The sequence below is a fragment of the Homo sapiens genome, chromosome 7 (genome assembly GCF_000001405.40).
Source record: "Homo sapiens chromosome 7, GRCh38.p14 Primary Assembly".
In the NCBI taxonomy this organism is placed as follows: Eukaryota; Metazoa; Chordata; class Mammalia; order Primates; family Hominidae; genus Homo; species Homo sapiens.
This window is the reverse complement of record NC_000007.14, coordinates 115,151,761-115,166,622: the sequence shown is the minus strand read 5'-3', so window position 1 is coordinate 115,166,622 and position 14,862 is coordinate 115,151,761. Positions and strand designations below refer to the sequence as shown.

General features: G+C 35.8%; 1 long non-coding RNA gene across 1 annotated transcript in view; it reads left to right on the top strand.

The window, feature by feature from the left end:
- LINC01392 (long intergenic non-protein coding RNA 1392) overlaps positions 1 to 14,862 on the top strand; it is a 107,757-nt gene that overhangs the window by 64,733 nt on the left and 28,162 nt on the right. The window contains exon 2 of the long non-coding RNA NR_126407.1: positions 11,417 to 11,557. This is a non-coding gene — a long non-coding RNA (long intergenic non-protein coding RNA 1392). The remainder of the gene's footprint in view (positions 1 to 11,416; positions 11,558 to 14,862) is intronic.

Here is a 14,862-nt window from a genome sequence, read left to right as displayed (position 1 = left end):
GTTCTATTATGTGGCTGCTAACAAGAAACTTATCTAATTGGTAGGTACTTGCAGACTGAAGGTAAATTATGGAAAAAGATATTCCACACAAATGGAAACTAATACCAAGCAGAAATAGCTTTGTTTATATAAGATAAAACAAACTTTAAATCAACAATAACAAAAAAGACAAAGTCATTATATAATGGCAAAGATCATTATCAGCACTAAACAGATGATCAAGGCAGAAAATCAACAAAGAAACATTAAACTTGAATTAGACTCTAGACCAAATTTATCCAGCAGAAATTTACAGAACAGTGTACCCAACAACTGCAGAATATCATCAGAATATCATTTTTCTTATCAATGCATGAAATATTTCCAAGATTAGGCCACAACACATGTCTCAATAAATTTATTAAGAAGCAAAATCATATCAGGTATCTTCCTAGACCACAGTGGAATAAAACTAGAAATAAATTATAAGAGAAACTCTCAAAACTATACAAATACATGGAAAGTAAAAAACCTGCTCCTGAATGATTGTTGGGTCATGGTGAAATTGAAATGGAAATTTAAAATTGTTAAAACAAAAAATAGAGACGCAACATACCAATATCTCTGGGATATAGCAAAAGCAGTGCTAAGAAGGAAGTTCAGAGTATTAAATGTCTACATCAAAAAGACAGAAAGATCACAAATTAAAAACCTAAAGTTGTACCTCAAGGAACTAAAAAAAAAAAGCAAGCAAAAACAAAGCCAAAGCTAACAGAAGAAAATAAATAGCAAATATAAAAATAGAACTAAATAAAATTGAAAAAATACAAAGGATTAATAAAACAAAATGTTTCTGTTTATCTCTTGTATTTCTGTGAACTTCTCTAGTCACAAACTAGAAAAATTAGAGGAAATAGATAAATTTCTGGAAACCTAAAACCTCCCAAAATTGAACTAGAAAGAAATAGAAATTCTGAACAGACCAATAATGAGTGATGAGATCGAATCAGTAATAAAAGAATACTTCCTGCCTCTTCAAAAATAGCACAGGACAAGAAGGATTCAAAGCTGAATTTTATCAGAAGTACAAAGAAGAACTAGTACCAATCTTACAGAAATTATTCCAAAAGCTTGGAAAGGAGGGAATCCTCCCTAACTCATTCTACAAATCCATTATCACCTCGATGCCAAAGCCAGGCAAAGAAAGAATTATAACCCAATATGCCTGATGACCATAGAAACAAAAGTCCTCAAAGTACAAACAAACTGAATCCAAAAGCACATCAAAAGTATAACATACTAAATCAAGTGGGTTCTATTCCAGGGACACAAAGATGGTTTAATATACATAAATCAATAGATTCAATTCACCAAATAAACAGAATTTAAGCCAAAAAAAACCATATGATGATGTCAATAGACACAGAGCATTTGATAAATGTCATCATTTCTTCATGATAAAAACCCTCACAAAACTAGACAACAAATAAAAAATAATAAAAGCCATATATGACAAACTCACAGCCAACATCATACTGAGCAGGAAAAAGTTAAAATTCCCCCTGTTAGCTGGAACAAGAAAAGGTTGCCACTTTCAGTCCTATTCAACATAGTACTCAAACTCTTGACCTTAGAGAAATCAGGCAAGAGAAAAAACTAAGAGGCATAAAAGCTGGAAAACATGAAGTCAAATTATCTCTGGTTGTTCATGATATAATCTTATACCTAGAAAACCCTAAAGACTCCTTTAAATGACTCCAAATTTAGTAAGTGAATTCAGCAAAGTTTCAGGATTAAAAAAAAATCAACATAAAAATTAGCTGGGTGTGGTGGTGGGCGCTTGTAGTCCCAGCTACTCAGGAGGCTGAGACAGGAGAATGGCGTGAACCTGGGAGGCAGGGCTTGCAGTGAGCCAAGATTGCATGACTGCACTCCAGCCTGGGTGACAGAGCAAGACACCATCTCAAAAAAAAAAATTATTAGCATTTTTATAAACCAATAACAGGCTGAGAACCAAGTCAAGACCTTAATCCTATTTAAAATAGCTACAAATACCCGCAAATCCTAGGAATACATTAATCAAGGACGTGAAAATTCTCTTAAAGGAAAACTACAAAACACTAAGAAATCGTAGATGACACAAACAAATAGAAAAACAACCTACACATATTGATTAGAAGAATCAATATCATTAAAATGATGATATTGTCCAAAGCAATACTGAACCACACTATCCATAAGCTTGGAGAGCCATAAACAGAAGAATAAAGCTGGGCCCATATTTCTCACCATATACAAAAATTAACTCAAGATAGATGATATGGTTTAGCTGTGTCCCCATCCAAATCTCATTTTGAATTGTAACTCCCAGTTTCCACATGTCATGGAAGGAACCCAGTGGGAGGTGATTGAATTATGGCAGTAGGTTTTACCTGAGTTGTTCTTGGCAGAGTGAAGGAGTCTCATGAGATCTAATGGTTTTAAAAATGGGAGTTTCCCTGCACAAGCTCTCTCTCTCTTGCCTGCCACCATCCATGTAAAATCTGACTTGCTCCTCCTTGCTTTCCACCATGTTTGTGAGGCCTCCCCAGCCATGTGGAACTGTAAGTCCATTAAACCTCTTTCTTCTGTAAATTGCCCAGTCTCAGGAATGTCTATCAGCAGTGTGGCAATAGACCAATACAATATTGGTACCAGTAGAGTAGAGCATTGCTGAAAACATACCCAAAAATGTGGAACTGACTTGGGGACTGAGTAACAGGCAGAGGCTGGAACAGTTTGGAGGGCTCAGAAGAAGAGACAAAAATGTGAGAAAGTTTGGAACTTCCTAGAGACATGTTGAATGGCTTTCACAAAAATGCCGATAATGATATGAACAATAAAGTCCAGGCTGAGGTGGTCTCAGATGGAGATGAGGAACTTGTTGGGAACTGGAGCAAAGGTGACTCTTGTTATATTTTAGCAAAGAGACTGGTGGCATTTTGCCCCTGCCCTAGAGATTCGTGGAACTTTGAACTTGAGAGAGATGATTTAGGGTATCTGGCAGAAGAAATTTCTAAGAAGCAAAGCATTCTGGAGGTGACTTGGGTGCTGTTAAAGGCATTAAGTTTTCTAAGGGAAGCAGAGAGTATAAGTTCAGAAAATTTGCAGCCTGACAATGTGATGGAAAAGAAAAACCCATTTTCTGAGGAGAAATTCAAGCCAGCTGTAGAAATTTGCATAAGTAACGAGGAGCTGAATGTTAATCCCCAAGACAATGGGGAAAATGTCTCTAGGGCATGTCAGAGATCTTCATGGAAGCCCCTCCTATCACAGGCCCAGAGGCCTAGGAGGTAAATACGGTTTCATGAGCTGGGCCAGAGTCCCCTTGCTGTATGCAGCCTAGGGACTTGGTACCCTGTGTCCCAGCCGCTCTAGCCATGAGTAAAAGGAGCCAAGGTACAGCTAAGTCCATGGCTTCAGAGGGTGCAAGTCCCAAGCCTTGGCAACTTCCATGTGGTGTTGAGCATGTGGGTACACAGAAGTCAAGAACTGAGGCTTGGAAATCTGTCTAGATTTCAGAGGATGTATGTAAATCCCTGGATGTCCAGGCAGTTTGCTACAGGGGTGGGGCTCTCATGGAGAACCTCTGCTAGGGCAGTGTGGAAGGGAAATGTGAGGCCGGGGCCCCCACATAGAGTCCCTACTGTGTGGGGACCACCTTGTGGAGCTGTGAGAAGAGGGCCACCATCCTCTAGACCCCAGTATGGTAGATCCACCAACAGTTTGCCCCATATGCCTGGAAAAGCTTCAGACACTCAACACCAGCCCATAAAAGCAGCCAGTAGGGAGGCTATACCCTGCAGAGCCACAGGGCTGGAGCTGCCCAAGACCATGGAAGCCCACCTCTTGCATCAGTGTGACCTGGATGCAAGACATGGAGTCAAAGGAGATCATTCTGGACCTTTAAGATTAGACTGCCCTGCTGGAATTTGGACTTGCATGGGGCCTGTAGTCCCTTTGTTTAGGCCAATTTCTCCCATTTGGAGTTACTGTATTTACCCAATCAATGCCTGTACCCCCACTGTATGTAGGAAATAGCTAACTTGCTTTTGATTTTACAGGCTCAAAAGCAGAAGGGACTTGCCTTGTCTCAGATGAGACTTTGGACTGTAGACTTTTGAGTTAATGCTGAACTGAGTTAAGACTTTGGGGAACTGTTGGGAAGGCATGATTGGTTTTGAAATGTGAGGACATGAGATTTGGTAGGAGCCAGGGGCAGAACGATATGGTTTGGCTGTGTCCCTACTCAAGCCTCATATTGAATTGTAACTCCCACAATTCTCATGCATCATGGGAGGAACAAGGTAGGAGGTGATCGAATTATGGGGACTGGTCTTTCCAGCGCTGTTCTCATGATAGTGAATGGGTCTCCCAAGATCTGATGGTTTTAAAAATGGGAGTTTCCTTGCACCAGCTCTCTCTTGCTTGCTGCCATCTATGTAAGATGTGACTTGCTCCTCCTTGCCTTCCATCATGATTGTGAGGCCTCCCCAGACATGTGGAACTATAAGTCCATTAAACTTCTTTCTTTTGTATATTGCCCAGTCCCAGCTATGTCTTTATCAGCAGTGTGAAAATGGAATAATGGTATGGATTAAAGACTTCAGGTTAAGATCTGAAACTATAAAAATTCTAGAAGAAAACCTAGGAAAAACTCTTCTGGACATTGGCCTTGACAAAAAAAAAATTATGACTAAGACCCGAAAGGCAAATGCAACAAAAATAAAAATAGACAAATGGGACTTAATTAAACTAAAAAGCTTCTGCACAACAAAAGATATTACTAACAGAGTAAAGAGACAACCTACAGAATGGGAGAAAATATTTACAAAGTAGGCATCGAACAATGGACTAATACCCAGAATCTGCCAGGAACTCAAACAATCCAACAAGGAAAAACAAATAATTTCATTAAAAAGTGGGCAAAGGACATTACAGACTCATTTAAACTTCATTTTTTAGATTTTATTACATGTGAAGCTGTCTTAAGACTTTAGATAATGCTAAATAAATGCCATGTACAAATGGTACCTTTGGTTGGAAACAAATATATGCTGATGATTATCAATTGAGTCCCGGTTAATTTGGCATAAATGCTATAAGACACAGATAAGTTTTTAAACTCTGGGAAAAAATATGACATTTAAAGAAGGAGATTAGGTTAAAAGTGTTTAAGCATTTTACAGAACTAATAATTTGCTCATCAATTAATGAAACAATCAAAATATGTATTAGCCAAAAATACTAATTTAGAAATCTATTATAGGCCTTGAACACCAAAAATAAAATCTTGCATGTTTGAAGTTATGCTTTCCCCATTTATTTTTATAAACGTTTAGATGTACTGCCCTACTTTTGCTACATATGAGGAAATGTGACAAGGAAAAAATATGCTCAAGAATGATTGTAAGGCCATACGTTTTCAAGCTGTCAAGAATTTAAATTATTCTAAAAAGTGTAGGACTGTTCATGAATAGGACGAAATGGAAACTAATAATAATATCCAAGAAAAATTTTCTTCATAAATTTTGAGGCAATTCCATCAAAAACTTAGATGAATGATATAAATAAGAAAACCATTGAGTGAAAATAAAAGCCTAAACTATGGCAGAAACTATGCAAGCACCCATAGTGTACTCTACAGATGTTTACAATGTACAAAGGCAGCGTGTCATCAAAGTAAGTTGTGTACATCTCACCAGGTTTCTCCTGGATTTCTATTAGTCAGCCAAGGAAAATCCAAAATATTTTTTCAAAGCAGATTACTGATATGAAAGAATTACTTCAACAAGATAACAGTAGAAATGGAATGAGAAAGAGAAGGTGACAGAAAGAATTGAAAGTGATAATGAAGCAGGAAGAAAGGCATAAACTTGAATTCAAATTTTTTTTAATTTGTAATCATGTGGTCATTACAAATGGCTTAAAATTATTCATTTTGTTTCTTAACTTGTAAACAAAGGAAGCTGTCTAATTTTTAGTCTATAAGTCAGCAGTCCCCAGCCTTTTTGGCACCAGGGACCAGTTTCGTGGAAGACAATTTTTCTGTGGAGGAGATGGGGGAGGTTTTCCGGATGAAACTGTTCCACCTCAGATCATCATGTATTAGATTCTTATAAGAAACGCACAACCTAGATCTCTCGCATGCGCAGTTCACGGTAGTGTTTGTGCTCCTATGAGAATCTAATGCCTCACTGACCTGACGGGAGGCAGAGCTCAGGCGGTAATGCTCGCTGGCCTGCCACTCACTTCCTGCTTTGCAGCCTGGTTCCTAAAAGGCCATGAACTGGTACATGGCCTAGGGGAATCTTTGCTCTAAATGATTGCACCTTCATGAATTCCAAACTTTTCTTCAATTTATGGAAGCATAGAACAAGAGAATGCCTACTTGCAGCCTAAAGTGGGAGGGAGATCATTGATGGCACTGGATAAATTCATTCTTGGAAAGCAAGTCAGGTGTCAACAGCTACACTCCATCATTTCATTTGGAGAAGGGAAGGAAAAAAGTATCCATCTTTTCAGAATGCCCCTTCAGCTCTGCACTTGCAGTGCAAAGGTTAAAAAGAGATGGCAACCACACAAACACTATCAGGCCACTGATCGCCTGAAGGAGAAATGTCCACCCAGGAAACTAGATGGCTATAGGATTAATACAAGAAATACTCAAATCCTTGTGTACACTAAGTACTTTCTGTTGCTGAATAAATAAAAATATAATTTAAGTTCATGTAAAAGGAGTATTCAGCCTAGAAAAAGGAGGACGTCTGACCAATTGATGTTTACTTCATTCATTGGTGGAGGGTGTACTATACTACTGGCCCTGTAACAAAAAGATGAATTGAATACAATCTCTGCCCCCTGGGGACTCCAGTCTGCTCTGGTAGACTGGCAGGTCCCTGAGCATGTTTTTGCCAATAAAGAATTAAAATCTCTCAGTATACTCCACTTCTTTTACCTCTATTTCCTCTCTAAAGGGAAAGACAGAGTCTTCATTCCCCAGGTATATAAATTCTATTTCTTGTGTCTAAGGAAGAGTGATCTCATGGTTGCATTAAATAAAAATAATAGTCTTTACTAGCTTGCTGCTGGGTAACAGAGACAAATCTTTCTTCTCGTTGTGATTGTTATTTTTGCTTTTGCACAAGATCTTATTCTACATACTTTTCAGAAAACATGATTTGAACTGCAGAACGCTAACATTCCTGTAATGATGAGATTTGTTACATGGAAGCCCACTGACACACTGCTAAATATTAGTCTGTTCTTCTCCCTACAGATAGAATGTCATTGGCAAATGAGAATCAATTGTACTTACAAAAACTCTAATTCAAAAAATTCAAAATGTCCCTAAGTAACTTCTTCAATTCTACCCCAGGCAGGAAATTTCTATCTTTAACTTCTCATGTTTAAGTTATGCCTTTTTCCTTCTGACCATATGGATTTCAAATGGCAAATCACTCTCTGTAATTTATCATGTCTTTAAAAGCATAAAATGTAATCATATTTACTATGTCCTATGCAAATGCAATGACAATTAGTATCTCAATAGTGGATAACCTTCAGAGATATCTCCAAATTCAGGTATATTTCTTTACTAGTTGAGTATTTCAATTTTAGAGAAGGGGGATTTTGCCTTAATTTCAAATGCCTAGGTAGTTTTCTGTAATTTCTAGGTGAGATTTTTCAAAATTACATGTATAATGTTAGGCTTAGGGAACTGAAATTTAGAAAACCTTGTATTTGTGAATTTGATGGTAACTGCATTTTTTAAAAAGGGTTTCACTCCATAGATTAAAAAATAATATTGCAAAATAAGTTTATTTTTAACCACCTGATAAACGCAGAAATTATCAAGACAACCAGGGACCTGGTTCAAAAAATTCATTTAAAAGATACTTCAGGTGACTTAAAAATACACTTTTTAAAATAATTTGTGGTGGGGATAATTTTGGTAAGAAAATCTTACATTGAGTGTGAATTGTTATTTTTGAAAAACAAAAGGACTATTATAAGTACAAATAGTTTCCAGGAAAAACCTTTTTCCTCAAACAGCTGTCTTTATAAAGGTACCTTAATGATTGCTTTGTGAAGTTGATTGTTATCGTCATGTCCAAGAGGAGGTCTGACATTTTATCAATATCACAGCATTTTAAAGGAACATAGGAAACAGTCGCGTGTCACTTCCAAAGATTTTTATTAAACAGAGAATTAAACTGACAATTTATACATCAACATAAGCTGATGCTCATAACACATTGGGTCTAGTCAAACTATTCTGAGCATTTATAAGCTATTGATTCATAGATGTATACATATTTTCATAATTTACCATTTTGGAGACTATGCACTTTTCCTCCTAATGTTCTAAAATCTCGTGGCAGGATTTTTATTATATGCAAATTAGCAGCATTTGATTAGGTCCTGAGGCGGCTTCACCTGGGTGTTCAGAGGAATAGCAATGGGAAGTGAGGAAGAATATTTCATCACTGAAGTGTGTTTTCCCTTGGGGGACACCACCATTTGATTTTGACATTTATTTGTCCTGTGCTATAAAGGACAAAACTACAGTTATACTTTTTTTATACTGTGCAGTGGGCATCATGTCAGAAAAAATTAAATCAAAATAGTATGTTTGCACACAAAACAAGATCCAAAACCAAACTCATTAAACAAATCCCTGGTTAAAATCATAGTGCTTTAAAAATACTATTTGACTAATGCTCAATGTTGAGTGTATATAAATAGAATCCATGAGAAACCAAACTGAAGAAACCAGATTACATCTATATAGCTTCACAGTGTTCTCTTGGCTCTCTACAACAAAATACATTTGAAAATATAGGTTCATTCGGTACTTAATTACCAAGTTCTTGTTTGCCTTTCACCATTTTTAGAATCCTGAAACAAAGTTACTACCTGATAGTTAATGATTGCTATAACAATAAATATTTGCCAAATATATTTTCTTGTATTTTAAATTTTGCAATCTTTTTAAAATTTGAAATCTATACCACTTTATATTTTTCTGTCAAGAAATAATTGAGTCACTTTTTAAAGTTGAACTTGATCATATTAAAAGTAATTTGAAAATATATTTTATTTGTCCATTTATCAAAATATAACAACCTTTGCGAGTGATTACCTTGAACAAGAAATACAAGGAAAAAGACTAAGAACAGTCAATGACAGCTACAAGTTTTCTTAAGCATGGAGTTAGCTTTTATTCCCTAATTATCCTCACAGCAATTATAAACCAGTAAAGAACAAATTAAAGCTTTCTCAGAAATATTCTAAAATTTGTGTTTTTTCAAAGCCACGATTCTCTGTAAAGCATCTCTTAACTGAAGAAAATAGTCACAAAGCACCTTCCTGTTTTGATAACTAAATAAAACTAAAATTACCAGGACATCAAACATCCTAGAATTGATGCATTTCTGTGGATTTCAGGAAAAAGTACCTTTTTCTGTTATGTTTTATATATCTGCATTATGTGTTACTTTCTAAATATCATAAATTTAAATATAAATAATAATTATGTATCTGGCACATAAAAAGTTGGCTATGATGTCAATAATGCTAAAGAGAAAACTGAAACAGTAATATGTGCTAATAGCAAAAAGTGAAGTGAAATGGAATCTCCTCTAATTAAGGCAATCTTAAGTCATGAATGATGTAGCTATCATGAATTATTAAGGGTGGTCCCAGTAATTTAACTAAAAATAATCCTTTTACTATATTCCCAAAAGCCAAGTGTTCTAATAATTTAAAGGTTTGAAATCTTTCCTTTACTTTGAAGGAAGTAAAATTAAGTTATCTTTTAAAAGGCCAAATGTTGAACCATAAACTCCTTTTTATCCCTAAAAGTATCACTTGTTTAGTTTTAATTGGAAATATTTATAACAAAATTGGAAATTATTCATGTGATTAAAAGGAACATTTTATATAATGAATTAAATAGTAAGCCAGACGAGTCTTTATTTTCTTCATTTTTTTTTCCTCTTCTGATAGAGTGAGCCAATTCACCATGTATTTTCTAGAATGGCTCTGAAGAGGGGACTCCAAAGAAGGAAGAATTAAAGGATAATTGGTCCAGCTTTTTATACGTCAAGTAATGGATAATTAAAGCTTTCTTAGATTAATTCATGTAGCCAAAATACAACTACTACACAACTACTGCTCTGAGATCAAGCCAGTTCTATTTTCTTGTTCTTTTTGTTGTTCTTGCTTTTAGGGCAACTTGGTTCAACTTACTTCTATCTAGATGATTTGTTCAATGGGTTAGGAAATTGATTTCTGTTAACAGGGCCAATGAATAAGTAGCCAGTGATAGAGCAATGCTACAAGGACCAGGTGAGATATTGAATGTGACTAAGCTTTATGAATACGCAAGTCCAATACCAACATAATATGTTTTTATTATAAATTTAAGAGATCTAAAATATGTTGAGGAGACGTTGGAAGTCAAGAGGGAACCAAATGCATGCCATACAAGCTAGTGAATTTGCATAATTTGAACTTCATCTCCCTGTGAGGCTGTAAAGTTCTTGTGAGCTGAGAAATATCTCATACCCCCTATGGTGATTTAGTGCCTGCTTGGCCATAATAACCACCCCAGGGTCCTGGGCCACTCAGAGCTCTTCAGAGCATCATACTTATAAGACTCCTGAGACACACGTAAAGAAAAAAAGGAATTGTCATTAAAAGTTGTATTGATATTATGACTAGAATTTTGGCAATAGCTTATCCTTTGGAAAACTGAGAAATGCTATAATGTAGGAAGCACATGCTGGCAATATTTAACAAACTAGCATGATAGGAAAAATGGAAGTGAATTTGGCTTTAATATGGTAAAGAAAACACTATTGTTGCCCCTGCCTTTTCTCATTTGGGCATTTTCCCTTTGATCAGATTTGCCACTGTTGACATGGGAGGCACTCACTAAATTCTGACAGAAGAAAATAAAACACAAAGTGGACGCCAGCCCCTGGTAGACAGATACCACAACACCAACCACAGGAACTTCTAACCAAGTCTGAAGCAGGGGATATGTTTGTACCTATGTTCAATGTTATTTCTAACTGCAGCTCTAGAATACCAAATATTCTACCTGTATACCCACCTAAAGACTTGAGGAATGAATCACAAGTATAGTTTGTTAGAAGTACATAACCCACTGAGAGGCCAGTGAATTGTCTTTGGAAGCTTCAAATGATTTATCTTTTCTAAAAATTAAAAATCTATCTTCAAGAAAACTATTTGTGGGGAGAACTTACAAATAGTTTCTCACCTTCAGCCATTCCATTCACTAGTTCCAGTATGTCTCCAGGAAATATAATCCATCAATTATAACAAAAATATTTTATCCAGGTAACTAAAACTTATGTTTTCTTTTCAGATTAAAAAGCGAGCACAGGCTGAGTGCAGTGGGTCACGCCTGTAGTCTCAGCACTTTGGGAGGTCGAGGTAGGCAGATTGCTGGAACTCAGGAGTTCGAGACCAGCCTGGACAACATGGCAAAATCCTGTTTCTACAAAAGGTAAAAAAATTAGCTGGGTGTGCACACCTGTAGTCTCAGCTACTCGGAGGCTGAGGTGGGAGAACTACTTGAGTCCAGGACGTCAAGACTGCAGGGAGCCATGATAGCATCACTGCACTCCAGCCTGGGCAACAGAGCAAGACCCTGTCTCAAAACAAACAAATGAAGAAACAAGCAAACAAAAAAACTGAGCACAGAAATGTAAAGGGTCTTTTTGTCCATATTTTTCTTGAGTTACATTTTATAATACAAGTATGTACAGAAAAATGAAGAGAGTTGGTTAATCAAGTTTAAAACATTAAACACAAATAGCTCTACCCTCTTAATTTATTAATAAAAACAGACCAAAGATATCAATTATTGGTTAGCTCTGAAAGGTGGTGTGATTAATAGTTTGAAAGAATGTTAGGTATAGCTAATGGCATTTGTAAAATAAAAAAGAAAAATTTGGTACAAGTTTATCAAATATTTGTTGAGTTTCAATAATATGGTAGGCATTGTGAAGCATTCAAATGTGGTTCCTCTCCTCATTTTTTAAAAACTACTCCAGTTTTTTGTTAACAGATCTGGCTAGCTCCTGCAGCTTTGAAAAAGAATTTAAAGCCCATAAATTTCGCAAATCCTAAGCAAGAAGCATATATTAGTTCTTCAAAGCATATTGATTTTTTTAAAAAACACGGATTTTAGCCTTCATGTGATAAAACTTTTAGTGATTTTCTTACCATGTCTTGTTAAGGCTTAAGTTCCTCATTTACATATTTGATGTCTCTCAGGAGACAGACAAGCTTCAAGTTAATTATCTATGTAGCTGTAAGAACTCTTGTTTCCTGGTTAAGAACTCTTCAAAAGAAAACTAACAGTTATTAAATGTTACACTGAGTCACCAAAAGTAATCAGGATACACAATGAGAGGCACTAAACAGACACTTAAATTTAATAAAAACCTCAACTTTTTAGAAGATAAATAAAAAAAATCAATTAAATTTCTTACAGTAATTTTCAGGGAAAACAGCCAGCAGAAACCAAACAGCTAAAATCTCTGCTCTAGGAAGTGATTAGGCACTGCTGGAGGCTTAAAGAAATTATTGCAAAATTCTGGAAATAGACCCAGTGAACTCAGATCTGTAATAGAGTTGTAACTAAAGAAATGCCACGTTAAAAAAAAAAAGACAGTCTGGCATCTTTTCCACTGAATGTGCGCCACCATGCAGGGGTGTGTGTATGTGTGTGCATGTGTGTGTGTGTGTGTGTGTGCACATATATAATACATCATATGTAATATAAAATACATATGCAAACTATGTGCTGTTTGTAGACAAACTTACGCTTTTTTATATGATGACAAGAAAATATATGTGGAGAGAAATCATAATCATTGAATCTGAAAGTCTATTAAAGATCAGTTTCATGGAATAAGAAAAAGAAAGAAGGGCAACCATAAGACAGACTTGAGTTGAGTTGGGAAATTGAAACCACAGCTATCAGGTGAGTTAATTAATCTGGGTATCGTTCAGTAAATGAAAGTGTGCCATCTATTTCACAAGGGCCCATTGTGTCTTGCATGTGAAATAAATTTACCCTGTTTGATTAAGGATTACTGATTGCCTCCAATTTATTATATGTATCCTATAATTAAGTCACAATGAGTTCGAATGAAATGGGGATGGTCTCCTCCACAAAGAAGACAACAAGCTCATTCTAGGAAGACCTTGGGGGTCATTCAAGAAGCAATTAAATGTTCTCTAGGGTACATTAAAAGGAAAAGAGCTTGATGGGCTGAACGGCCTCTCCTTATATTCATCCTTCTCAATATTCTGCCCCTATGGAGACAAATGAAACCATGTCATAAAATAATATAAGGCAGTATCAGCAAGGAAAACAATGCTGTCTGCTCTTATATACTAAGGAGAATGTTGTTGAGAAAATAATCTATACTACACAGAGGATAAAGAGGAGCATGAGCTAAAGTGATAAGCTATGTCAGAATCTGTTCAGAGATGGGAGGGTCTAAACAAATCAGTGGGCTCTGGAGGGGTGCACATGATCCTTGAGAATTATACATTTTTTCTGTTTACCAGTAGCAAATACCTAGAATAAATGCTTTTTAGCAAGTGAAATAGAAAAAGCAAGATCAGTAACTGTTGTGCCTACAAATACATTTCTCTATAGTTTTAGAAACACTCTTATAAGTAGGCACCATAAAAGCAAAATTACACTGATAGCTATTGAAGATGCCAAGGAAGACTAATATGATGGCAATATGGGAGAGAGAGACTGAACTCAAGTCCACTGAAACCAAAGGTAGGGGAATCTTTAAGCACTAGGGTGAGTTACAGGAAAGTACTGGAAGACTTTAAAGGCGAGATTTGTGAATCTGATTAGGCACCTGTATTTGCTAATCAGCACTTATGGAAGTTAGGCTTCTACCTTCCCACAGAGACAGAGATAAAAACCTTATCTTTCTTGATAATTATACTTTTTTAGAAGATTTACATTTCAAAAGGGCAGAGAAAGAGTTTACAATTGCAAGTTTTTTCGAAGTAAATACTTTAAGGGAGGGAAGTCAGGTGCCACAGTCAGGAAGAAACCTATCTAAAGATTAGTCAGGTTTTAGAGGGTGGGTCTACTACTCTGAAATCAGTTTGGCCTCACATAGAAATGGAAGCATCACCGCTGTAACTATTCCCTTAATAAATGCATCTCTTTGAAAAATACAGGTCCTAAAATATGCCAGTCTGCAAATAGTTATGAAAATATTCATTACTGAAGTAACTAAAATATAATTAGATCAGTTTTATACATTAAAAACAGTTAATTTTGTTTACATACTAATCAAATAATAAAAATCTTATCACCTAGTATATGACCCAAAAATTACTCTCAAAGACTTCTGTGTTTTTTTTTTCTAAATAATCCCAGAATGAGCACATTTGTATGTAGAAGCCACATTTTATAATGGAAAAATAAATTTTCAAAAGGATCGGAAGACACAGCCCAAATCTCAGCCACATAAGTCATTTTTTCCATAAGCTTAGGAACATGATTTACCTTCACTGAGATTTATTTTCCTCATCTTTAAAGGAGAAAACCTGCTCTGCTTACATGACTGGAGATGAGAGAATGATGGAAAAACTTTTAAAACGTGTAGTCAAAGGCAACGCAAGAGAGAAAAGCAGAGGTCAGGTCAGGATGGATCTAAAAGCTGTATTTAGGAATTTTTTCCAGAAATCTAAAAGCAATAAGAAGTCATTGAAGAATTTTTAAGCAAGAAAGTGGCATTATATGATGGTCATATTAGGAAAAAA